Source organism: Homo sapiens, chromosome 3 (genome assembly GCF_000001405.40).
Source record: "Homo sapiens chromosome 3, GRCh38.p14 Primary Assembly".
NCBI classification, from domain to species: Eukaryota; Metazoa; Chordata; class Mammalia; order Primates; family Hominidae; genus Homo; species Homo sapiens.
In genome coordinates, this window is record NC_000003.12 from 4,938,529 (window position 1) to 4,963,097 (window position 24,569).

Consider the following 24,569-nt stretch of genomic DNA (forward strand, 5'->3'; position numbering starts at 1 on the left):
AGTCATAGATAATATATAAATCAAAGGGCGTAGCTGTGTTCCAATAAAACTTGATTTACAGAAATCAGATGGCGGACCAGATTTCACTGAAAGGCACTGTTTGACCACCCATGATTTAAGGGCTCAGTCTGGTGTGATACATTCAAGATGGCTCACTCTTGGAGTGCCTTGGCACTGCTCTGTGTGGTCTTCTGACACCCACCCTCCATGTGACTTGGGCTTCTTAGAGCATGGTGGCTGGTTCCAAGAGTGAAAAGCAGAAGTTGACAGGCTTAGGCCTGGAGCTTGCATTACTTCCATCACAGTCCATTGGTTAAAATGAGCCCCAGGGCCAGTCCAGATTCAAGGGAGCGGGTTATGAAAGGGTGTAAGTACCAGGAGGCATGGTTCACCAAATGTTACAGACCATCACACAATTCTAAGAGGTTTGCTTGTCAAAACTGTGTTTCATTCCACATTCTGTCTGGAGACCCTCACCTAAGGGAAATGTTTGGTGACTTGTGAAGCCATCCTTTGATCCTTTCAAGAATTATCTTCTTGACATCACTTTAAAGAATCCATGATTTGGCCAGGCATGGTGGCTCATGCCTGTAATCCCAGCAGTTTGGGAGGCCGAGGCAGGCAGATAACCTGGGGTCAGGAGTTTGAGACCAGTCTGGCCAAAATGGCGAAAGCCCATCTCTACTAAAAATACAAAAAATTAGCCGGGCATGGTGGCGGGCACCTGTAATCCCAGCTACTTGGGAGGCTGAGGCAGGAGAATTGCTTGAACCCGGGAGGTGGAGGTTGCAGTGAGCTGAAATCACGCCATTGCACTCCAGCCTGGGCAACAAGAGCAAAACTCCAACTCCGTCTAAAAAAAAAAAAAAAAAAAAAAAAAAAGAATCTATGATTCATTACTTAAAGACAACAGTTCCTTCCTCCCATTAGCTTGAGAAAACTCTAGGTCTTCTGACACCCACCCTTAAAAATGCTGTTTCCAATCCACTGCACTTAAGCTAAAAGGCACTACAACCCATTAAACTTAGATTACAAATATGATAGAAAATGGTTTTTAGTAGTAAGATTAAAGCAATCATACTTAACTACTTAAAGATCTATCAAAGTGCTGTTATTTTACAAAAGTAAACTATAATCTATATTAGAATATTCACTTATGAATTTCAAAAATATTCATTAAACATTCATAAATTGTTAGGTCTTATGCTAGGTTTTGGTAAATACAGCCATCATTTTGCTCTTAATGTAGAACTGTAGGCCATTAGTTGACCTTTAGTATACAGTAAAACAAAGACTGCATGAGATAAAATTTTCTCAGTGAAGTGGGAAAAAAAGGAAGCATTTAGGTTCTCATAAAATTATTGAACCACAAGAAAATTGAAGGCATATATATTTTTAGGTTGGTATTTTAGTGAACCATATGGTCTGATATAACCAGATCATTTTAATCAAACATTATCATTCTATTGATAAGAAGGTAATACTAGCTGGCTGGGCACAGTAGCTCATGCCTGTAATCTCAGCACTTTGGGAGGCCAAGGCAGGTGGATTACCTGAGGCCAGGAGTTTGAGACCAGCCTGGCAAACATAGCAAAACCCCATCTCTACTAAAAATACAAAAAAAATTAGTCAGGCTTGGTGGCATGCACTTGTAATCCCAGCTACTCGGGAGGCTGAGGCAGGAGAACTGCTTGAACCCAGGAGGTGGAGGCTGCAGTGAGCTGAGATTGTGCCATTGTACTCCAGCCTGGGCAACAAGAGCAAAACTCTGTCTCAAAAGAAAAAAAAAAAAGAAGAAGAAGAAGGAGGTAATACTAGCCAGGTGCGGTGGTGCACCTACAGTCGCAGCTACTCGGGAGCCTGAGGTGGGAGGTCGCTTCAGTCCAGGAGTTCAGAGCTGCAGTGTGCTGTGATAGTACCTGTGAATAGGCTCTGCCCTCCAGCCCGGGCAACATAACAAGACTCTGTCTCTTAAAAAAATACATATGTAATAAATGAAAACCATTTTTTAAAAGGTAATACTAGAACATTATGAGAAGAACTGATTTTACTCTTTAAAAAGTGTGACCCAAAAAATGCTGAACACGCTGTCAGAGATATGTGGTTGTAAGCCAGAGGATATGAGATGCCACCAGGTGAATATAGCACATCTTCCCGTGTCAATTGCACTTAAATGTTCTAGGAGGAAAACATTTTAACTGTTAAGTGCTTTAAAACATAATTCTAGCTGGGCATAGTGGTATGTGCTTATAGTCCCAGCTTCTTGGGAAGCTAAGGCTGGAGGATCACTTGAGCCCAGGAGTTTGAGGCCAGTCTGGGCAACATAGCAAGACCCCTGTCTCTAAAAATAAAAATAAAAATAAGGCATAATTCTTATCACAATACAATAAAGCTACAAAATATTTTAAAGGCCTTTACAGGTGAAAATTTAAATCTTGTCTATTAAACAACAATGAGGATTGGTCAGATATGAGCCTGTAAAAAAAAAAAAAAAACACTTAGGTGAAAGTGGGCATAAAAACTGCAATGGTGGCATTTCTAAAAAAGAATAGTAATGAGGCCAGGTGCAGTGACTCATGCCTGGAATCCCAGCACTTTGGAAGGCCAAGGCAGGTGGATTGTTTGAGGCCAGGAGTTCGAGATTTGCCTGGGCAACATTGCGAAACCCTGTCTCTACTGAAAATACAAAAATCAGCCGGGCATGGTGGCACGTACCTATAGTCCCAGCAACTCAGGGGGCTGAGGCAAGAGAATCACCTGAGCCTTGGCAGGTAGAGGCTGCAGTGAGCCATGATTGGTCCACTGCACTGCAGCCTGGGTGAAGAGTGAGACCCTGTCTGAAAAAAAAATAATAATAAATAATAATAATAATGAAATCACTGTATATGAGAATTTATGGGATACATTAGACTAGTGATCAGAGGGAAATTCATAGCCTTAAATGCTTACATTAATAAAAATAAAAAGAGGAAAACAAGTGAATTAAACTCCAACTCAAATAAGCTAGAAAAATAACAACAAAATCAACCAAAAGAAAACATAAGGAAAGGAATAATACATATTGAAGTAGAAATTAAAGGGCTTAAAAAAACAGGAAAATGATAAAACTACATAAATTAAAATGGTGGTTCCTTGGGCAGAGGGAAACAGTAGCCAACCTAATCAAGAAAACAAAGAAGAAAACATAAATCTATAAAAAAGAAAAGTGACAAATAACTTTTATCATGGAGGAATTTTTTTAAATCATGAGAGACTACATTGCATAATCATACATAAATAAATGTGAAAACTTTTGAAATGGATAACTTCCTAGGAATACAGTTTTACAAAATTGACCCCAGGAGAGAGAAAATGCTTAAGCAGACACATTTCCAAAGAATTGTTAAAGAAAGTTTCAAAGAACTACCCCATTAAAAGCCATCACACTCAGACAGTTTCACAAGAGAATTCCAGAAAACCTTCAAAATTCAAATAGTACCAATGCTACATGAATTATTCCAGAGCATAGAAAATAGAAAAAGGCTTCTAAATTTTTTATAAAGCAGGATTAACATTTATACTTAAACCTAACAAATACAGTGCATGCACACACAAATATAAATCATTCTAACCTACAAATATTGATGCAAAAAAACAAATGAAACATTCACAAACAGAATCTAATACCTCATTTAGAAATACATCATGATCAAGTAGAGTTTATTTCAGGAATGCAAGAATGGTTTGATATTAGCAAATTCATTAAAATAATTCATCATATTAATGTAAGAACAGTTATATAATAATTTCTATAAAAGTTGAAAAGGATTTTGATAAACATCAACACTCATTTCAAATAAAAAATTCTTAATAAAATAGGAGGATGGATATATGGTTAACATAATAAAAATACTTAAGTCAAAAGCCAACTTTTTATTTAATTGGAAAAAATTGGTGACATTCTCACTAAAGTCAGACATATGGCAAGGATGCCAAGTATATCTACTACTATTTAACACAGTATAGAAGGTATCAGCCAATGCAGTTAGGCAGAAGGAAGCAATTTGAAGCATAAGAATTGAAAGAGCAGAAGTAAAACTATGTACATTTCCAGATGATATGGTAGTATGCCTGTAAAACCCAAGAGGTTAAATGATAAAACTAACTCAAACAATAAAGTAATTCAATAATATAAAAGGGTATAAAATTAACCTTCAGAAACCAATAGCTTCATATACACAAACAATGACCGACTAGTTAGAAGGAATCATGAAAGCAAAAACCCCATTTACAATAGCAACAATAATAAAGATAAAAACTTAGGTATTAATAAGAAATGTGCAAAAGTTATAAGAGGAAATCTGTAAAACATTCTTAAAAGATATAAGTATACACTTGATGGAAAGACATCCTTTGTTTTCAGAAAGTATGACTATCATAAAAATGTTACTTATTCTTAAATTATAAATTTAATGCATTTCCAATGAAAAGTACCAATAAGTTTTTGTTTCAAAACTTCAAATATATATATATACATATTCACACACATATACATACACATATTTGTGTATATATACACATACATATACACACAAATAGGTTTATATATACACATATATATAAACATATACATATATACATACCTATTTGTGTGCTTTATTTTAAATAAGTATATATACTTATTTTTATATTTGTATATATGTATATATATTTTATTTGTATATGTGTATATATGTATACAAATAGGTATATATATGTATGTGTGTATATATACCTATTTGTATGGGGTGTGAGTGTATGTGTATATACACCTATACAAATATATACTTATTTAATGCCTATATCTATTTGTATGGGTATATACATACACACACATATATACAAATATATATAATACCTATTTGCGTGTGTACATATATATATATATACTTATTTATTTAAAATAAAGCACACAAGAATTGCTAGAAAAACTAAAAAAAGACAAAGAGGTAGAAGTAACCCTAATAGACATGAACACATACTATAAGACCTCTAGAAGTAAAATTGTGTGGTACTGGAGGATAAGTAGACTAGTAGAAAAGAATGAAAAGTGAAGAAATAGACCTGAGTATGTAGGGAAAATTAGCTTTAGATACATATTTAGGATAAATTTCCAAAAGCGAGATTGCTGGGGCAAAGGGTCAATATAGCTCTTTTTAGGTATTGCCAAATTCCCCTTCACTGGGGCTGTTCTTTTGCATTCCCACCAGCAGGTGAGAATGCCCATTTCCCTCCCAGCCTCACCAACAGTGTGTACTGTCAAGGTTTTGATTTTTGCCACTGATATAGATGAAAGTGGTGTCTCAGTGTTTTAATTTGCATTCTCTTATTATGAGTTAAGCTTAATAACTTTCCATTTAAGAGCAATTTATAGATTTTTATGTCTTTCTTTTTTATTAAGGCATAATTGACGTACAACAAGATGTACAGCTCTCAAGTGTGTGGTTCCATAAGTGTTGACAGTTGAATATATCTGTGTAGCCACCACTGAGCACAATCTGTAGAACACTGCCATCCCCCTAGAACTTCCCTCTGACTCCTTTCCTGTCAATCCTCCCACCCACTCCAGAAGCAACCACTTTCTGGTTTGTATTCTCATAAATTACCTTTGCTTGTATAAATGGAATGTAAACGGAATATGCAATAATGTATATCTGATTATTTCATGTATCTAATGTTTTTGCTCAACATAATTTTTCAGAATTCATCCATGTTGTGTGTTGAGCATTATTTCTTTTTATTACTGATCTTCTAGGGATATAATGTTTGCAGAATTAATTTTTCTCTCCTAATGGTTTCTCATTGTTGAAGAACTGAGTTGCAAATATGGAAAGTGAGAAAAATAGAATGAATTCTATAGTGTTGGATTGGAATTGGAGCTACCAGTATGAACTGAGTTTTTAATATGTATAGATACATATAGAAGTATTTGAAGATATGTGTGGCTATATCTCAGTACGTGCATGCATATATACAGACAAGTATTCCCTGGCTCTGTCTCCTTACAGAGCCTGGGAGTAGTGTCGTTCCAACAGTAATAAGCACACCTTCCACCTATACCTTGGTTTCTAAATATCATTTTCTATGATAAGGAATCAGGATTCTTTGGAGAAATGACTGTTTCCAGAGTTAGGGAGAAGAAAGTACAAGTGTGAGTCTGGAACATCTTCTCACAGACAGTAAGGACACGTTCAAAAGCTGATGTGGCTATCTCAAAAGGACAGGAGTGCCAGCCTGAAGGTATTTTGGCCACATTTCAGATAATATGAAACATCAAAATGAATAAAGACAGTAATAGATTTTTATGCATCATTATTACTAATTGTTACTAAAAATGTAAAAATTAATGTTAGGTGGAGGGAAATTTTTTAACAGAATAATACTAAGTAATAAATGTAGAAGAAAGGATAGAAACATCACCATTTCACAACTGCCATACTAATAATTGATTCAGACAAAAATCACCATTGGGTGGAAGGTTGTTGGAAAACAGGATATTCACATGATCTCGTGAATTACTTATTATACAGGGAAATTGGAGTGTTATAATGGTGGATTTGGCAGGCATGATTATAACCAAGTGATCAAAGTTAACATCACCAAGTAAGTTATATCATGTGCCCCTGAGGGGATGCACTAAGTATATAGTATTCCAGACAAAATTGTTGATTCCAACCATAAGGAAAAAACCATAGATTTCCAAATTAAGGGACGTTTGGCAAAACAACTGGAACTTGAGCTCCAAATATATCAATGGTGTGAGAGACAAAGAGAGGAGACTAAAGCAATACGACAACGATATGCAATGAAGCATCCTTGATTGGATACCAGAGCAGGAGGGAAACAAACCATAACACTTTAAAGACATCACTGAGGCTAGGCGCAGTGGCCCATGCCTGTAATCCTAGCACGTTGGGAGGCTGAGGCGGGTGGATCGCTTGAGGTCAGGAATTTGAGACCAGTCCCTGGGCAACATTGCGAAACCTTGTCTCTACAAAAAAATACCAAAAATTAGCTGGGCGTGGTGACACCCGCCTGTGGTCCTAGTTACTAGGAAGGCTGAGGCAGGAGCATTGCTTGAGCCTGGGAGGTCAAGGCTGCAGTGAGCCAAGATCATGTCACTGCACTCCAGCCTGGGTGACAGAGTGAGACCCTGTCAAAAAAAAAAAAAAAAGCGCATTATTGAGACATTTGGGAAAAATCTGAATATAGATTATGTTCCATAATGTTCCTATATGTTAGATAATAACATTGCATTAATGTTAAACATCTTGAGTTCAATAATTACATTGTAGTCATGTAGGAGAATGTCTTTGTTCTTAGAAAATATATGCTGGAGTATTGAAGGGTGAAGTGTCGTTTTACCCACAACTCTTTTTTTTTTTTTTTTTTTTTGAGACAGAGTCTCGCTCTGTCCCCCAGGCTGGAGTGCAGTGGTGCAATCTCGGCTCACTGCAAGCTCTGCCTCCTGGGTTCACGCCATTCTCCTGCCTCAGCCTCCTGAGTAGCTGGGACTACAGGTGCCTACCACCGCGTCCGGCTAATTTTTTGTATTTTTAGTAGAGACGGGGTTTCACCGTGGTCTCGATCTCCTGACCTCATGATCCACCCGCCTCGGCCTCCCCAAGAGCTGTGATTACAGGCCTGAGCCACCGCGCCCAGCCTACCCACAACTAACACTTAATTGGTTTAGAAAAAAAAGTAAATATACACGTGTTTTTGTTTGTGTCCCTTTCTCTTTATATATGTGTGTGAAGAGAGAAAGAAATAAAGTGAATGTAGTAAAATGTTAACAATTGTTGAAACTTAAGGATAATGTTGGTAGTGTTGGTACTATGTTTTCAACTTTTCTGTAGGTTTGAAATTTTTCATAATAAAAATTTGGGATTTTTTTCTTTTTTTTTTTTTTAGATAGGGTCTTGCTCTGTTTCCCAGACTGGAGTGCAGTGGTGCCCAGCCAGTCGTCCCACCTCAGCCTCCTGAGTAGCTTGGGACCACAAGTGTGCATCACCATTCTTGGCTAATTAAAAAAAAAAAAAAAGTTATAGAGACAGGATCTCCCTATGTTGCGTAGGCTGGTCTTGAACCCCTGGACTCAAGCGAACCTCCAGCCTTGGCCTCCTAAAGTTCTGGGATTACAGACATGAGCCACTGCGTCCGGCCAGAACATTATTTTTAATTAGAAATAAGAGACTTCCAAAAAATGTTAGGTCTGAATATGTCTGCTTTGAGCTTTTACCTTCAGGAAATAAAAACTCACTATCTTTGAAGTTACTTCAAGAAGGCTCCTTCAATGGGGATCCTTAAGAAGCTTTGCCTGGGGGATAGGACATCTCCCTTTGGGGCTAGCTGGTGTCTTCAGTTGTTTGGGCAAGTCAAGGTCATAGTCTGGAGTAGATACATTCCTCTGGCAGTAGCAACCACACCTTCAGGGAACTGCCTCTCCTCAGTCATGTGCTTCTCTTGTGGTTGCCAATCATGCGACCCTGTCCCCGGGCCAAAGGATGGGCAAGTAATCCAGGCCTGGCCAACAATGTACCCCAGCACCCTAGTCACAGTGATTAGCTCAGGGAAGGGTGTGGGACCTTAGCTGGGCCAATCAGGCTCCTATCCTGATATCTTATTTATGGGTGCCAGGAGACTTTTATTTATTTATTTATTTATTTATTTATTTATTTATTTATTTATTTCTGAATGCTGCTACTTTCCCCTGGGATCCTTTGGCTAGCGTGATATCAATCTGGAGCTCCTCCGAGAATCCAGATTATTATGATTAACAGCTGTGCCCTTCCACAGGGTGATGTGGAGGCAGAATGAGAAGCAGTTGGCTTTGCTTCAGGGTCCCTGAAGGTGATCTTCCGGCTCCTGGGGCCTCTGTTTCTGAACTACAGGCAACATCTTATGCCACAGACCGAATTCTATTCTGTAGACCACATGGCACATATGCAAGTGTATGCGCCCCTCCACCAAATGTCTCCTTGTTTGCTCAAAGTCCTACCCTCTCATTGGTCATTCTTTCCATAGACATGGTAGGCCAACTGTGAGCAAAACCTTGAGCAAAGTGCTGTGGCCCGGTGCTTCCCAAACATCACATTGGCCACCTAAAATCCCCCAGAAGCCTTCCAAACACAGCTCTCTGGGTCCCATTCCCAGAAGTTTTGACAAGAGAATCTGTATGTTTAACAAGCCACCCAGGTAATTTGAAGGCCTGTTTGGGTTTGGAAAACACTGCAGGGGCAGAGAGGAATATCAAGGTAAATGTGGCTCAAAGTCATCTCTCAGGGAGCATTTAGATGAGGGAAAAGGATAAGGCAACTGAGCTAATTACACTATGAAGCAGGAATCAGTGCTGGGTACCAAGAGAACCCTTCCCAGCCTCGTGGAGGCGGGAAAGCTGACCAGTCCTAAGGTCATGCTGAGTCTTGCTGACGGGCACTCATGGGTTCTCCCTCCTCATTATCAAGCCTGCTTGGATCTCAAAACAGTGCCTTCCAAGGAAGGAGTCAACCTATATTTCAGCAAGTTCACACTGGAGAGTTGGGGAAATCAGACCATTTGGGGAATTCCTACTGATGCCTTTTTCTTTTGAGATAGGATCTCACTCTGTCACCCAGGCTGGAGTACAGTGGTGCCACCATGGCTCACTGCAGCTTCCGCATCCTGGGCTCAAGCAATTCTCCCACCTCAACCTCCTGAATAGTTGGGACCACAGAGGTGCACGACCATGCCCACTACTTTTTTGTTTTTTGTTTTGGTAGAGATGCGGTCTCCCTATGTTGCCCAGGCTTGTCTCAAACTCCTGGGCTCAAGTGATTCTCCTGCCTTGGCCTCCCAAAGTGCTGGGTTACAGGCATGAGCCACTTAGCCTGGCCTCCTGCTGATGCCTTTTAATGGAAAGAAAGGGAAGGTTGGAGGAGTGTGTGTGTGTGTGTGTGTGTGCACTGTGGTGTGCTGTGATGTGCTGTTTGTGTGTGTGTGTGTGTGTGTGTGTGTGTGTGTATGTATGTGGTGTGTAGTCTTAACTAGGGCTCTTGGCCAGCATGTGTTCACTACATTCTTGTCAAGCGAGAGAGTGTTTCATGGAGCCAAATAAAACTCCAAGTGACCTTTTCATCATATCAGAGTGTGTCATTGTGGATGAAAAGCACGGTGCATTGTAGTCATAATCACTGTTTTTTATTGGCCACCCATTAACATGCTGAGGAACATAATAGCCGCTTTACATACATTCTCATTTAATCCTCGCAGAACCCCATGAAATTAGGACTATTTTTTTGTTGTTGTTTAACAGATGGAGAAACTGAAACTTAGAGGGGTCAGTACAACCTTCTGTTTATGTTTTTTTAAAGTGTTTTTGTGAATGATCTTTAATAGATATTATAACCAAATGTACGTCAGTTAAGTTGCAAGCTTTCTTCTTCAAATATTTATTTGATGAATATTTATTGAGCCTCTATTATGTGCATAGTCCCTACTAGGTGTGATAGGAAAGACTGAAAAATATCACAAATAGCTCTTTTCCCTAAGGAGCAGTTAATTTGGTCTGGAGGTACAACAATCAAAGGATAGGCCAGGGGCAGAGGCTCATGCCTACAATTCCAGTTCTCTGGGAGGCCAAGGTGGGCAGATTGCTTGAGCTCAGGAGTTTGAGACCAGTTGCGCAACATAGTGAGACCCTGTTTCTTCAAAAAAATAAAAAAACACTGGGTGTGGTGGCACATGCCTGTAGTCCCAGCTACTCAGGAGGCTGAGGTGGGGAGAATTGCTTGAGCCCAGGGGGCAGAGGTTATAGTGAGCCAAGATCGCAACACCACACTCCAGCCTGGGCTACAGAGCCAGACTGACTCAAAAATAAAACAAAACAAAAAACATCGAAGGATTTTTTTTTTTGAGCTGCTTTCCCTGTTTGTGTTGTGCTTTTACAGCAATTATCAAATTGCATTTGGACTTAAGTTGTGCAAGTCTCTGCTCCTCCTTAGCCCCTTAGGGGTAAGGAACTCCATTTCACTCACCTTTGTATTCTCAGCACATAGTAAGTGCTTAATCAACGTTGATGAATCAATGAACTGATAAACTGGAATTTGGAGAGTGTGAATAAACATTCTAATCCTTTCTCAGATGCTGAAGAGCTTAATGAAACTTGCAAAGAAATCTAAATCCAGAATAGAAAATAGCTATTATTGAGCAAGGAAAACTTTTCAAACTAATGAGTACATTCCATACACAACCATTCAAAGTATTTCTTAACCAGCGTCCCTGGATGTCCCATGAGATGTTAATAAGTATTTCTTTAAAAAGAAGAAAAACTTCCACAGTCCAGTACATTTGGGAAATGCAGGGTTAGATAGGATTTCCTTACTGCAGGAGATCTCAGAGCCTTTAATAGACAGGCGTGCACTGTGTATAAACCAGAAGCTGTAAGTAGTTTGAAGAATATACTGTACATGGTAAGCAATATTTTCCAAATGTGTCTGACAGTGGACACTTCAGGGTAGCAGTGGAGGGAGTAAAGAAAAGAATTAATTGCAGGGTCAAGACTAGAATAAGGTAAAGGAGACAGCTAGGGCGCAAGATCTAAGAAAGTACCTACTTGCACGAAAACACTAGCACAACCCTGAGACTGAGGGTCTCCTTACATGCTGCACCCTGGTCACCTTGCTTCATCCCAGGCCCAGACCAGGGGTAATCATTTTGTTTCTGTTTGTTGTTGTTGTTTGTTTTTAAATCAGTACTCTACAAACAAGGAAGGGGTAATCATTTTGAAGATGACGACAAACATTTCTGAATCTTCTTTTCCCCTATTTTGTCATGATTCTGGCTCAATTTTAGAGTTGTGAGTTGTGGAGGCCTTTCCTGGCCCTGGCCCCAAGGCAGAGCCTTCTATGGAGTTCTGGCCAAGGACACGGGAACCCAGTTGGTGCATGGAGCAGGATCAGGCAGCCCCTTCAGACTGGTTCAGGAAAAGGAAATCCAAATGGAATGAGTCTGTTCTACACACCAGAAGAAGTTGCCAGTTGCTCAATTTCCTTTCTTTCTTCTCCTTTTTTTTTTGAGTTGGAGTCTTGCTCTGTCACCTAGGCTGGAGTGCAGTGGTGCAATCTCGGCTCGCTGCAGCAGCCTCCACCTCCTGGGTTGAAGCAACTCTCATGCTTCAGCCTCCCCAGTAGCTGGGATTATAGGCAGGTGCCACCATGTTTGGCTAATTTTTGTATTTTTAGTAGAGACGGAGTTTCACCATGTTGGTCAGGCTGGTCTTGAACTCCTGGCCTCAAGTGATCTGCCTACTTTAGCCTCCCAAAGTGCTGGGATTACAGGTGTGAGCCACTGAGCCTGGCCCCCTTCATTCTTGAAAACAACAGAGATTAAGAGAACGTCAATAAAGAATTCCCTAATGACTAGGATAATGACTGGCACTCAGTAAGTTGAATGAATGAGTGAATGAATAATGAAAAAATAAATAGAAGAGGAGCCATGAAAAGCATCACAGAATAAACAAATATGAATCAGAGAGGTCCCTGACATCTCTCTCTTTTTTAATTGTGTTCCTTTGCACTATGACGATAACTGCCCTCTCCGTGCAGTCTCTCCTCTGAACCGGATGTTCTGCTTAGATCTTTGGGTTTTTCCATTTGTACAGTCTCCTTATTAATGTCCCTCCCAACGTAAAGTCCTGTTTGATCTTAGAGCTAATGAGTAAAGCTGGGTGGGGCAAAAAGCCCGAGAAAAAACTGTTCAAGAAAGCGTGTACACTCTGCAAACTCTCTTTCTTTCCGTCATCCATTTTATTTCTTCCGGTTTCTTTTCTTTTCTTTTTTTTTTTTTTTTTTGAGATGGAGTCTCACTCTGTTCCCCAGGCTGGAGTACAGTGGCACAATCTCGGCTTACTGCAACCTCCACCTCCTGGGCTCAAGCAATTCTCCTGCCTCAGCCTCCCGAGTAGCTGGGATTACAGGTGTTTGCCACCCGCCTGGCTAATTTTTGTATTTTTAGTGGAGACGGGATTTCACCATGTTTGCCAGGCTGGTCTCGAACCCCTGACCTCAGGTGATCTGCCTGCTTCAGCCCCCCAAAGTGCTATCCCATTTCTTTAAATCCGTGAAAACAATCATCTTGAAGGGTTGCAAGCTTGTCCAGCCTGCCTTATTTTGTTGTTGTTGTTCTGTTTTGTTTGTTTTAGGTTTTGGCATTCTGAAGCCGTGGTTTTTAGTTTCTGTCTCTAGTGATAAGTGGAAAAGAGGGATGAGGAAGGGGCTTTACTGGCCCAACCAGAAAGAGAAACTAAGAACCCATGACTGTATTCTCTTCCTTGGACACCCCTATACTAGTGACAGATACTCAGCGGCACTTAATATACTCATGAGTTCAGTGTCTTTTTAGCTCTTAGGCACTCCGCTCCTTTTTTTTTCTTTTGAGATGGAGTCATGCTCTGTCGCCCAGGCTGGAGAGCAGTGGCGCAATCTCGGCTCACTGCAAGCTCTGCCTCCCGGATTCAAGCGATTCTCCTGCCTCAACCTCCCCAGTAGCTGGGATTACAGGCGCCCGCCACCACACCCGGCTAATTTTTGTGTTTTTAGTAGAGATGGGGTTTCACCATGTTGGCCAGGATGGTCTCAAACTCGTGACCTCAGGTGATCCGCCCAACTCAGCCTCCCAAAGTACTGGGATTATAGGCGTGAGCCACAGTGCCCGGCCACCCCACTTCCTCTTAAGTGAAAATACTTCAGGGTAAATTCAATCTAAATAAATGTAGTGAAATATATGGTTTTTAAATACTACGTTGGCATGATAACCATGCCCATTCAGAAAGCATGCTGAAATATTAGATAATGAGCAAAGCTTCACTTGTTTGGTCATTAATCTAATTAAACTATTATAAGCAACTGATATTAAAATACCATTTTTGTATATCATAGTCCAGTTAAATAATTAAAAAGCCAAAAGGGCATATTTCCAGAATTAAAATGGCTACCGTGTTTACCAAATATCTTTAAACTTCCAGGCCAATGATTTGGTTTCCTGAGAATTGCCATCAGAAATTTAACACTCCAGATCCAGAAATCTGAAAAAACATCTTTCTGTGTTTCTCAGGACCTCATCTGACATGCTGGTGTAAATGGAGACTATGCCTGCACTATCCCATTAAATTATCAATTTATCTTGCCTCTTAAACATTTTCAATATTCCATCTCTTTTGGTATTTGCATTTCATTAGACCAGACCATTTTAAGTAACAATACCTATTTTCCCTTGATGACAAAACATTTCGACCAGCGCATAAGATGTTTGTAATACATTTAATAATTTCTATAATCAAGTGGTTGAATCTATAAGGATCCATGCATCCTCATAGACGAATGCAGGTTGGAGGGTAAACCTTACCCTCCAAACTGCAGACACTAGAGATCAAAGGCTGCCAAGTTTCCACGCCGTTTCTGTGTTTATGTTTGCATGCTTTTTTGGAACCATTTCACTGTGACACACGAAAGCAGAGGAGACGACTTAAAGATCCTTTCTGGGTGAGGAGAACCTTGGATTCTACTCCTAAACACTCAGTGATATTGGGAGAAACTATTAATCTTACCAAAAGCTTCACGAAGCAGATATTTTATACCTTTCCAAGATGTTGTTGGCATAACATCAGGTCTGTATACAGAGGCCTCCTCGAGTTCTGCCAGGACAAAAGCTCTTTTGTACTGGATAAGGATGGGGAAAATGCCTGTTGGGTTTGGGTTGGCTTAAACAGCATGGGTTTTCACCACCAAGTGGGCTAATTTACTGCCTTAGTTCTAGTGAGTCACACTGCATCCTCTCTCTTGAGGGTCAAGTCTCCAGTCCAAAAGGGTGTTTTGAATTGGCCACACCATTGTGTATGGCTGGTCATCCCCAGCTGATTTCACTGTGGTGTCAGATGGTCTAAGAATTCATCATTAATACAATAATGAAAACCTGCTCCAGGTAATGAATCAACTTGGCTTAACTTCTCCCATGCTGGGGATGGTATCTGCCCCCTCTTGAGTCTTCCTGAATGACCATACGTGGTTAGGTGTCTTGGTTTCAAAGGATATTCCTATAGGTACAGTGAGTTGAGGAAGTGAGATGATCAACACACATTGTAGAGTATTGAAGGCAATTGAGTTTAACTTATAACAAGTGCCAATGTACCAAAAACACCCAGGTATTACTAACTATTAACAAAACTGCAGATAATCCAGCCCTTAGCTACCAGTACAATCTTGTCTGTGTCCCTTGCCGTACAATCAAGACCCTCAAATCACACTGGCCTTGTATCTGGTCTGAGAACATGCCAAGCCCCCTCCCACCTCAGCACCTTTGTCCTTGCTGTCCTTCCTCCCAGAATGCCCCTGTCCTGGCTTTTCTGGCTCGCTCCTTATCATTCCTTGGGTCTCAGCCTAAATGTTCCATCATCAGAAGGGCCTTGTGGCCTCCTCACCTCCTGCCCCATTATTTTCTATCTCACTACCTCGTTTATTTCCCTCATGACAGCCATCATGTTCAGAAATTAATTGATTTTATTTATTTGTTTATTCATGTGTTGTCTGTTTCTCCCCTCTAGAAGCATAGAGATTGGATTTATTTCTCCGGTTCACAATGCCAAGTGCAGGAAGGCATTTGCTATGGATTAAATTGTGTCCTCCCACAAATTCTAATGTTGAAGGCCCAACACCTGATGTGATGGTGTTTGGAGATGGGACGTTTGGGAGGTGATTAGGTTTAGGGGAAGTCGGGAGGGAGGGACCCTCATGATGGCATTAGTGTCTTTATAAGAAGAGACACCAGAGTGCTCTTCTGCTTGTGAGGACACAAGGAGAAGGCAGCTGACTGCAAGCCAGGAAGACAACCCACACCAGAACCCGACCATGCTGGTGCCCTGATCTCGACTTCCAGCCTCCAGTGAGAAAATAAATTCCTTTTGTTTAAGCCATGCTGTCTATGGCATTTTGCTATGGCACCTGGAGCTAACCAATACGGCACTTCAGTCTTTGTTGAATGAATGACTGAATGAATATACAATCTCCTGTAGTAATCAAGAGTTACATTTTGTAATCTGAGTGGTTCTGGATAATTTTTTTAAGTATCCATTCACCAGGAGTTCACACTATATTTGCGAAGCCATTGTGACATGGAGCTTTATTAAATGACATGGAGCTTTATTAAATACAACTTGTCTATTTTTCTTTGGTACTCTTATCACAAATCCTTATTATTCTAAACTGTACTGAAAGATACCTCCAGGCAAAGTTCATGTGCACAGCTGGCCATGAGTTCATAAGTCTTAACCAACCAGGCTTATCTATTAAATAGCTTAAAAAAAAAAAAAGTACTGGCCAGTTGTTTGAATTGTTCAAAAGTTTTAACACCATGTAGACAAATCCACAAAGTTCTGAACATCTCCAGAGGACATGTGCCCAAGGTGGTCAGGGCATAGCTGGTTTGTTTGTTTGTTTAAAAATTTTTTCTTTCCATAGGTTTTTGGGGAACAAGTGGTATTTGGTTACATGAGTAAGTTCTTTAGTGGTGATCTGTGAGATTTTGGTGCACCCCTCACCTGAGCAGTATACATTGAACCCAATTTATAGTCTTTTATCCCTCACCCTCTTCCCAGCTTTTCCCCCAGAGTCCTCAAAGTCCATTGTGTCATTCTTATGCCTTTGCATCCTCATAGCTTAGCTCCCACTTATGAGTGAGAACATACAATATTTGCTTTTCCATTCCTGAGTTACTTCACCTAGAATAATACTCTCCAATCCCATCCATTCATTCCTTTTTACGGTAAAAGCTAAAATTTAAATTTTCTTTGTTTGTTAAAAAAAAGATATTGGTTATTCTGAGCAACTTCATGTTAGGGAAGGTCAATTTTTGCCTTTTTCTGGATAAAAAGTTCAGGACTCCTGAGTCGTTTCTTTGCTGCTAGTGCCAAAGAACACTCAACAAGAACCATTCAGTCTTAGAACCTTAGTTCACCTTCAGCACATTCTACAGAGAAAATTCTGGTTGTGCTACTGGTAGCCAAATTACATCTATGTGACTATATACTCAGGTATGCTAAGCAATTACTGGCATTCTACCAATAAAAACAAATATTATTAACTAACCTTAATTAAGCCATCACCATATGCTATGCACTGTAATAAATAATTTAACCAAATAATTTAATCTGATACAATGATGCTAGGAGGTAGATACCATTGTTGCCCCATTTTACAGCTGAGCAAACTAAGGCTTTAAGTAAGAAAGGAGCGCTGCTCAAGAAAACTAATAGTGGCTGGGTGCAGTGGTTCACACCTGTAATCCCAGCACTTTGGGAGGCCGAGGTGGGCCAATCACTTGAGGTCAGGAGTTTGAGACCAGCATGGCCGACATGGTGAAACCCTGTCTCTACTAAAAATACAAAAATTAGCTGGGCGTGGTAGCATGCACCTGTAATCTGAGCTACTCTGGAGGCTGAGGCACAAGAATCACTTAAACCCAGGAGGCAGAGGTTGCAGTGAGCCGTGATCGCACCACTGCACTCCAGCCTGGGCAACAGAGTGAGACTCTGTCTCAAAAAAAAAAGAAAAGAAAAGAGAGAGAGAGAAAGAAAAGAAAACTAACAGTGCCGATAATGACTGAATAAACTTGGTCTAAGTACTTAAAAGAACACATTATTTTCCAGTTAAGATGTCCTTGTTTGTATGCAGAGAACATGATAATTTTGAAGAATTCCTGTCTAGTCATTAAACAGTTGCCCTACGGGAATAGCATACAATAATCTGTTAGCCTAGTTCAAGTTCCTCACATGCTTCAAAGTAATAACATTGCAAGCTCCATGAGAGAACAATCATGAAATTTTTTTTCATACAGCATGTGTTTGGTAGATAGAAACCCCTCAGTAAATGTTTTTGATTAAATAAATGAATTCAATCTTTTAAATTTTCTTTAATTAAATGTCACTAAAACTTTAGACTACTTCCCTCTGTGTTTCTTTGAGTGGTAAAGTTTTATTAAATTAAATCTTTACCTTTAGTGGATTTATAATCATTTCCCTTGCTTTCTTCCTAACAAGGTGGCCTGTGCCCTACTCACATCTGTTGGAAATTTGTACTGCCTTGCTAAGCCCAGAAAATGATGGGGAATTTATTTTCTCTTCTATGGGTGCATTAATTAGTTCTGTGATGAATGCAGGACCAATAGCTAATATCACAATTACAAAATTCCAATCACTAAGTCTCTTCTGGTGAAAAACAAACAAATTTGGCAGTTGAAAAAGAGGATAGTGGGATTCAAGTGCTAATTTACAACCACTCAATGAATGTTTTCTGCAATTGTTGGTGCTGTGAACACTGTCTTGAATAGCCAGATTCTTGGCATCTCCCTAATGTTACCCAACCTCTCTCCCCACAGCCTTTCCCCATCCTTCTTTCCCTACTGAACCGGTGCTTGATGCCCTCAGCAGATGTGAGACAGCAGAGCTGTCAAAGGCCTGGTTCTGAATGGCAATGAATACCCGTTTCAGCCCCAGCTCCCAGAATGGCAGCTACCCACTTCAAGAAAAACTAAACCACCCCCAGAGAAGCCAGCTTGATGAATTATAGGTCTGCCTCTCACTGGATTTCCTCAACACTGAAATGTCACTTTTCTCTGCACCTTGCATGACTATAAGCCACATTCTGGCTACTTCTTGGGAGTTTTCAGATTGTTGATTTTATTTAGTTAATTCAGTTTTTAAATATTTCCTGTTTCCTTTATACTGTAAACTCACCTTAGCACAAATGATTAAGTTTCATTGCTATGACCCACCTAAAAATAAAGGTGTATATACTCTAGGACCGTGCTGGTCATATACCATTAGGATTATCTAATTGTTAGAAATGTATATAGAATCTCGAGCCCAACCCCAGGCCTACTAAGAGAGAATTTGAATTTTAACAAGATGCCCAGGTGATTCAGATGCAGAGTAAAATGTGAGACTCACTACCCTAAGAGACAGAGTAGGAAGTAGGCAATCACCCAAATAAAACACAACACATTTTAGTGCACTATGCATTCTATCCAATCTCAGAAAATAAATGTCACTTGCAAGGTGCACAGATCATCTCTTCTTTGCCTTAGTCTTTGGGCGAGTGCGTGTGTGTGTGTGTGTGTGTGTGTGTGTGTGTGTGATTAGCACCTCGGCATTTGTTTGATAGACTACGATGCAAACCTTTACCAGCGTCTATTTTTTTTTAATCTCTGCACTGGCTTCGGCTTTAAAGTTTTCAATTCCTATGTGATTGATTGCTTTCTTCTGATTCCTACATACCTTTTCATTGCTAGTAAGAGGCAGTTATCTGGGGGATTTCTACCAGATGTACAGGGTTACGTGAGACTATTTGTACCTTATCAACCAAAACAAGACAGGTAAGCTCAAAATAATCTTTGATTTTTAAAACCCATCAGAGAACTGAGGGAGCAAAGAAACCTAAATGAACCAAACTCAAGCAAGTGACAAGCTCCACATATGAAAGGAGAGACTCATGGTCATTGTCACCTCTGGGGGAATGGCAGAAGGAAGACGAGTCTGTGAACAGCAGGGATGAGAACTCAGCTGCAATTTTAACAAGCTTGGAATGGCTGCCTGTGGGCGGAGGAGCCCCAGCCACAGAGGGAGTCTGCACCTGCCTGCCTCCTCTTTCCCGAGAGTCTTCACATCATGCTGGGAATAGTTCACCAAAGCTGGGGGAAGAAAAAAATGGCTAGGGGAAACTCCTTGAGGTGTTTTGGGCCTTCATAGAGTCTAGAAAGTTTCTAGAGCCAGTGAGGAGCCAAAGGGCTGAGAGACTTCTCCAGAGGTACAGAAAGCAGGGAAGCAAAGGGCAACGAGAAATCAAAAAGCTATCAGCTGGGCTGTAAAGCAGGCTGCGATCCCCCACAGTTCTGAAGTCTGTCAGCTCACTTTTGAAATAAAAGCCGATCTCAAGAATCTCACCAGTGCTCAGATACCCAGTTCTGCTGAAGACAAAGTCCTAATCCCACCCTCAAAACATTGAGAACAGTTGTGAACGGAATTAAACTAAAGCTACAACAATGCCCAGACCCAGATCAATTACAGATCAGATAGACTCAGCTCCTTGCAGAAGGGGCTTGCTCTTTTCTTTTTTTTGGAGGTAAATATTATTTATTTTGTATTCATTCTACTTTTATTTCAAAGTATTCAGTGTGCAATAAAAAATTTCAAGGTCTGTGAAAAAGCAAGAAAATAGGTCTCATGGTTAAGATAGAAAATAATCAATAGAATCAGATCCAGAGCTAGCTTAAAAGTTAAAATTATCAGACTGAGATATTAAAATAAAAAACATCTATAATATAAAAATGTTAAAGGACCTCATGGAAAAGAGGACAACATTCATGAAGAGATGGGGAATTTCAAAAAAGTGGTGGAAACTAGAAAAAAAGAACCATATGGAAATGCTAAAAATGAAAAACACAATATCAAAAATAAATTCATTAGTAGCAGCTTAGTAGCAGACTCAACAGCAGAGGAAACTGAGCATCTGACAGTATTTGGGTTAATTTCAAACAACCCAACATATGTGCAAATGGAATCCCAAAAATAAGAGAACAGGGACAGCATGGCAGAAGAAATCATTAAAGCTTTATTGGTCAAGACTTACCAAAATTGATTGAAGATCTCAACTCATAGAATCAAGAAGTTCCACATCCACGTTGTGTGTCAGGGGAGAGTTGGGGGTGGGAGGAGAACCAAGAACCTTAACGCACCCACAAGGAGAATAAATAAGGAAAAAGCAGCACCTAAACAAATCACAGCCAAACTGCTGAAAAGCAGCGGTAAGTGGTAAATCTGAAAAGCAATCAAAGGGGGGAAAAATACATAAATATAAGGGAATAATGATAGAAATAACAGATGACTTTTCACTAGAATCGATGGAGGCCAGAAGACAATAGAACATCTTTAAAGTGCTAAAAGAAAAACACTGTCAAACTAGAATTCTATAGCCAGTGAAAAGATACTTTAAAAATGAAGGTGAAGGCCAGGCACGGTGGCTCAAAGCTGTAATCCCAGCACTTTGGGAGGCCGAGGCAGGCGGATCACGAGGTCAGGAGTTTGAGACCAGCCTGGCCAACATGGTGAAACTCCGTCTCTACTACAAATACAAAAAATTAGCTGGGCATGATGGCAGGTGCCTGTAATCCCAGCTACTCAGGAGGCTGAGGCAGGAGAATCGCTTGAACCTGGTAGGTGGAGGTTGCAGTGAGCTGAGACTGCACCACTGCACTCCAGCCCGGGCAACAGAGCGAGACTCTGTCTCAAAAAAAAAAAAAAAAAAAAAAAGGTGAAATAAAGTCATTTTCAGACAGGTAAAAATTGGGAAGATTCATCTCCATTGGACCCATGCTACAAGAAAAGCTGGCATAAGTTTTTCTGACTGAACAGAAAAGATAGCAGAAGGAAACTCAGATCTGTAGGAAGAATTTAAGACTCCCAGAAAACGTTTTAAAAAATGGATACAGCCAGGTGTGGTGGCTCACGCCTGTAATCCCAGCATTTTGGGAGGCCAAGGCAGGTGGATCACTTGAGGTCAGGACTTAGAGACCAGCCTGGCCAACATGGTGAAACCTCATCTCTACTGAAAATATAAAAATTAGCTGGGCATCATGGTGTGCACATGTAATCCCAGCTACCCAGGAGGCTGAGGCATGAGAATGGCTTAAACCCAGGAGGCGGAGTTTGCAGTGAGCCGAGATCATGCCACTGCACTCCAGCCTGGGTGACAGACAGACTCCATCTCAAAGAGAAAAAAAAAAAAAAAAAAAGGCCAGGTGTGGTGGCTCACGCCTGTAATCCCAGCACTTTGGTAGGCTGAGGCAGGTGGATCACCTGAGGACGGGATTTCAAGACCAGCCTGACCAGCATGGAGAAACCCTGTCTCTACTAAAAATAGAAAAATTAGCCGGGTGTGGTGGTGCATGCCTGTAATCCCAGCTACTCAGGAGGCTGAGGCAAAAGAATTGCTTGAACCCGGGAGGCAGAGGTTGTGGTGAGCTGAGATCGCGCCAGTGCACTCCAGCCTGGGTGACAAGAGCTAAACTCTGTCTCAAAAAAAAAAAAAAAAACAAAAAAACAAAAAAACTATGTTAAAGGTCTTTTACAAAGAAATATTTATATATCTATTTGTGTATGTGTGTGTATATAATATTTGAAAAGATAATTGATTGTTTAAAGCAAAAAACCAATATATTGTGAGGTTTATTACATATTTGGGAATAAAGAGTAAAATGTCAGATAATAAGAGCACAAAATGTTGGTGGGGGAAGAAATAGAATTATACTGTTGTAAAGTTCTTGCACTATCTGTGAAGTTGTATAATAATTTTTTTTAGTATACTATTTGAAGGTAAATGCAGAGAATAATTTCTAGAATAGTGGTTCTCAAAATGTAGTTCCCAGACTTATACCACCAGCATCATCTGAAAACTTACTAGAAATGAATATTTTTGAGCAATATCACAGACCTACTAGATAAGGAGCTCTAGGAGTACGGCCCAGAAATCTATGTTTTAATAAAAGCACTAGGTGTTTCTAATGTATGTAAAGTTTAAGAACCACTGCTCTAGAACAGCCACTAAAAATACACCACGAGAAATACAGCTAAAAACAAGAGATAAAATGGAATGATTAAAAAATGCAAAAAGGGGCTAGGTGTTGTGGCTCATGCCTGTAATCCCAGCACTTTGGGAGGCTGAGGTGGGTGGATCACTTGAGGCCAGGAGTTTGAGACCAGCCTGGCCAACACAGTGAAACTCCAACTCTACCACAAATAGGAAAAATTAGCTGGGTGTGGTGGCACACACCTGTAATCCCAGCTACGGGGGAGGCTGAGGCATGTGAATTGCTTGAAACCATGACGCAGAGGTTGCATTGAGCAGAGACCGTGCCACTGCACTCCAGCCTAGGCAATAGAGTGAGACACCATCTCAAAACAAAAAATACATAAATAAAAATAAAAATGCAATATGGGCTGGGCACAGTGGCTCATGCCTGTAATCCCAAGACTTTGGGAGGCTGACATGGGAGTATCACTTGAGGCCAGGAGTTCAAGACCAGCCTGGGCAACATAGTACGACCCCATTTCAAAAAAAAAATTAATTAAAAAGAATGCAGTATACCAAAAATGAGGCAAGAAAGTAGAAGCAGAAACAAAGAATAAAAGGCATAAGTAGAAAATAATACCAATATGGGAGAATTAACTCAGATTAGTAATTATATCAAATATAAACATATTAAACACTTAAAAGGCAGAGATTGTCAGATTAATATAAAAGTAAGATCCAACAATATGATCTTGACAAATACAAAATTATAAGGACATAGTTTAAGGCTAGGTACAGTGGCTCACGCCTGTAATTCCAGCACTTTGAGGCCAAGGCAGGAGAACTGCTTGAGGCCAGGAGTTTGAGACCATCCTGGGCAACACAGCAAGACCCCATTTCAGGGCTGTGGTGAGACACGCCTGAAGTTCCAGCTACTTGTGAGGCTGAGGCAGGAGGATTGCTTGAACCCAGAAGTTCAAGGTTACAGTGAGCTGTGATCTCACCACTGCACTCCAGCCTGGGCAACAGAGTGAGACCCTGTCTCTAAAAAACAGAATAAAATAAATACAATATAAAAAGTCATAGTTTGAAAGCACAAGGGTAGAAAAAATATACCACACAAACATTAAGTATAAAAAAGCAGGTGTGGTTATATTAATATTAAGATAGGCTTCAGAATAATTATATTACTAGAGATAAAGAGGAAAAGTATTAATGATAAAAGAGAAACTCATCAAAAGGATCTATCAATACTAAGTGTGTATGCAATTACGAACGGACTTCCAGCCGGGTGCGGTGGCTCATGCCTGTAATCCCAGCACTTTAAGATGCTGAGGTGGGTGGATCACCTGAGGTCGGGAGTTCAAGACCGGCCTGAACAACATGGAGCAACCCTGTCTCTACTACAAATACAAAATTAGCCAGGTGTGGTGGCGCATGCCTGTAATCCCAGCTACTCAGGAGGCTGAGGCAGGAGAATCACTTGAACCTGGGAGGTGGAGGTTGCCGTGAGCCAAGATCATGCCATTGTACTCCAGCTGGGGCAACAAAACCAAAATTCCGTCTCAAAAAAAAAAAAAAAAAAAAAAAAAAAGAATGGAGTCCCAAAATGCAAAAGCAAAATTTGACAGAAACAGACAAATTGACTGGGTATGGTGGCTCACACTCTAATCCCAGTACCTTGGGAGGCTGAGGTGGGAGAATCCCACTTGAGGCTAGGAGTTCAAGACCAGCCTGTGCAAAACAGTGAGACTCTGTCTCTACAAAACATAAAAAAAAAAAAAAAAACAATTAGCTGTGAATAGTGGTACATGCCTGTAGTCCCAACTACCTGGGAGTCTGATGTGGGAGGATCGCTTGAGCCTACGAGTTTGAAGTTATGGTGAGCTATGATTGCACCACTGCACCCCAGGCTGGGTGACAGAGTGAGATCCCATCTTAAAAAAAAAAATAGAAAGAAAA

At 40.4% G+C, this 24,569-nt stretch overlaps 1 long non-coding RNA gene across 3 annotated transcripts in view, besides 1 other annotated feature; it reads right to left on the minus strand.

Annotated features, from left to right (window-relative positions):
* Window positions 1–24,569, minus strand: part of BHLHE40-AS1 (BHLHE40 antisense RNA 1) — an 83,153-nt gene that overhangs the window by 41,720 nt on the left and 16,864 nt on the right. Inside the window, exon 2 of one of the 3 annotated variants that reach the window (NR_125915.1) lies at window positions 11,031–11,170. The exons of the other annotated variants lie outside the window; for them this stretch is intronic. This is a non-coding gene — a long non-coding RNA (BHLHE40 antisense RNA 1). The remainder of the gene's footprint in view (window positions 1–11,030; window positions 11,171–24,569) is intronic. 3 annotated transcript variants of the gene reach the window in all.
* Window positions 7,490–7,654: a silencer, noted in NCBI's record as "fragment chr3:4987703-4987867 (GRCh37/hg19 assembly coordinates)". NCBI's record gives its function as "represses an EF-1alpha promoter that drives an FKBP-Casp9 reporter gene in an ReSE screen in HepG2 liver carcinoma cells {active_cell/tissue: HepG2}" and the evidence as "EXISTENCE:reporter gene assay evidence [ECO:0000049][PMID:32094911]".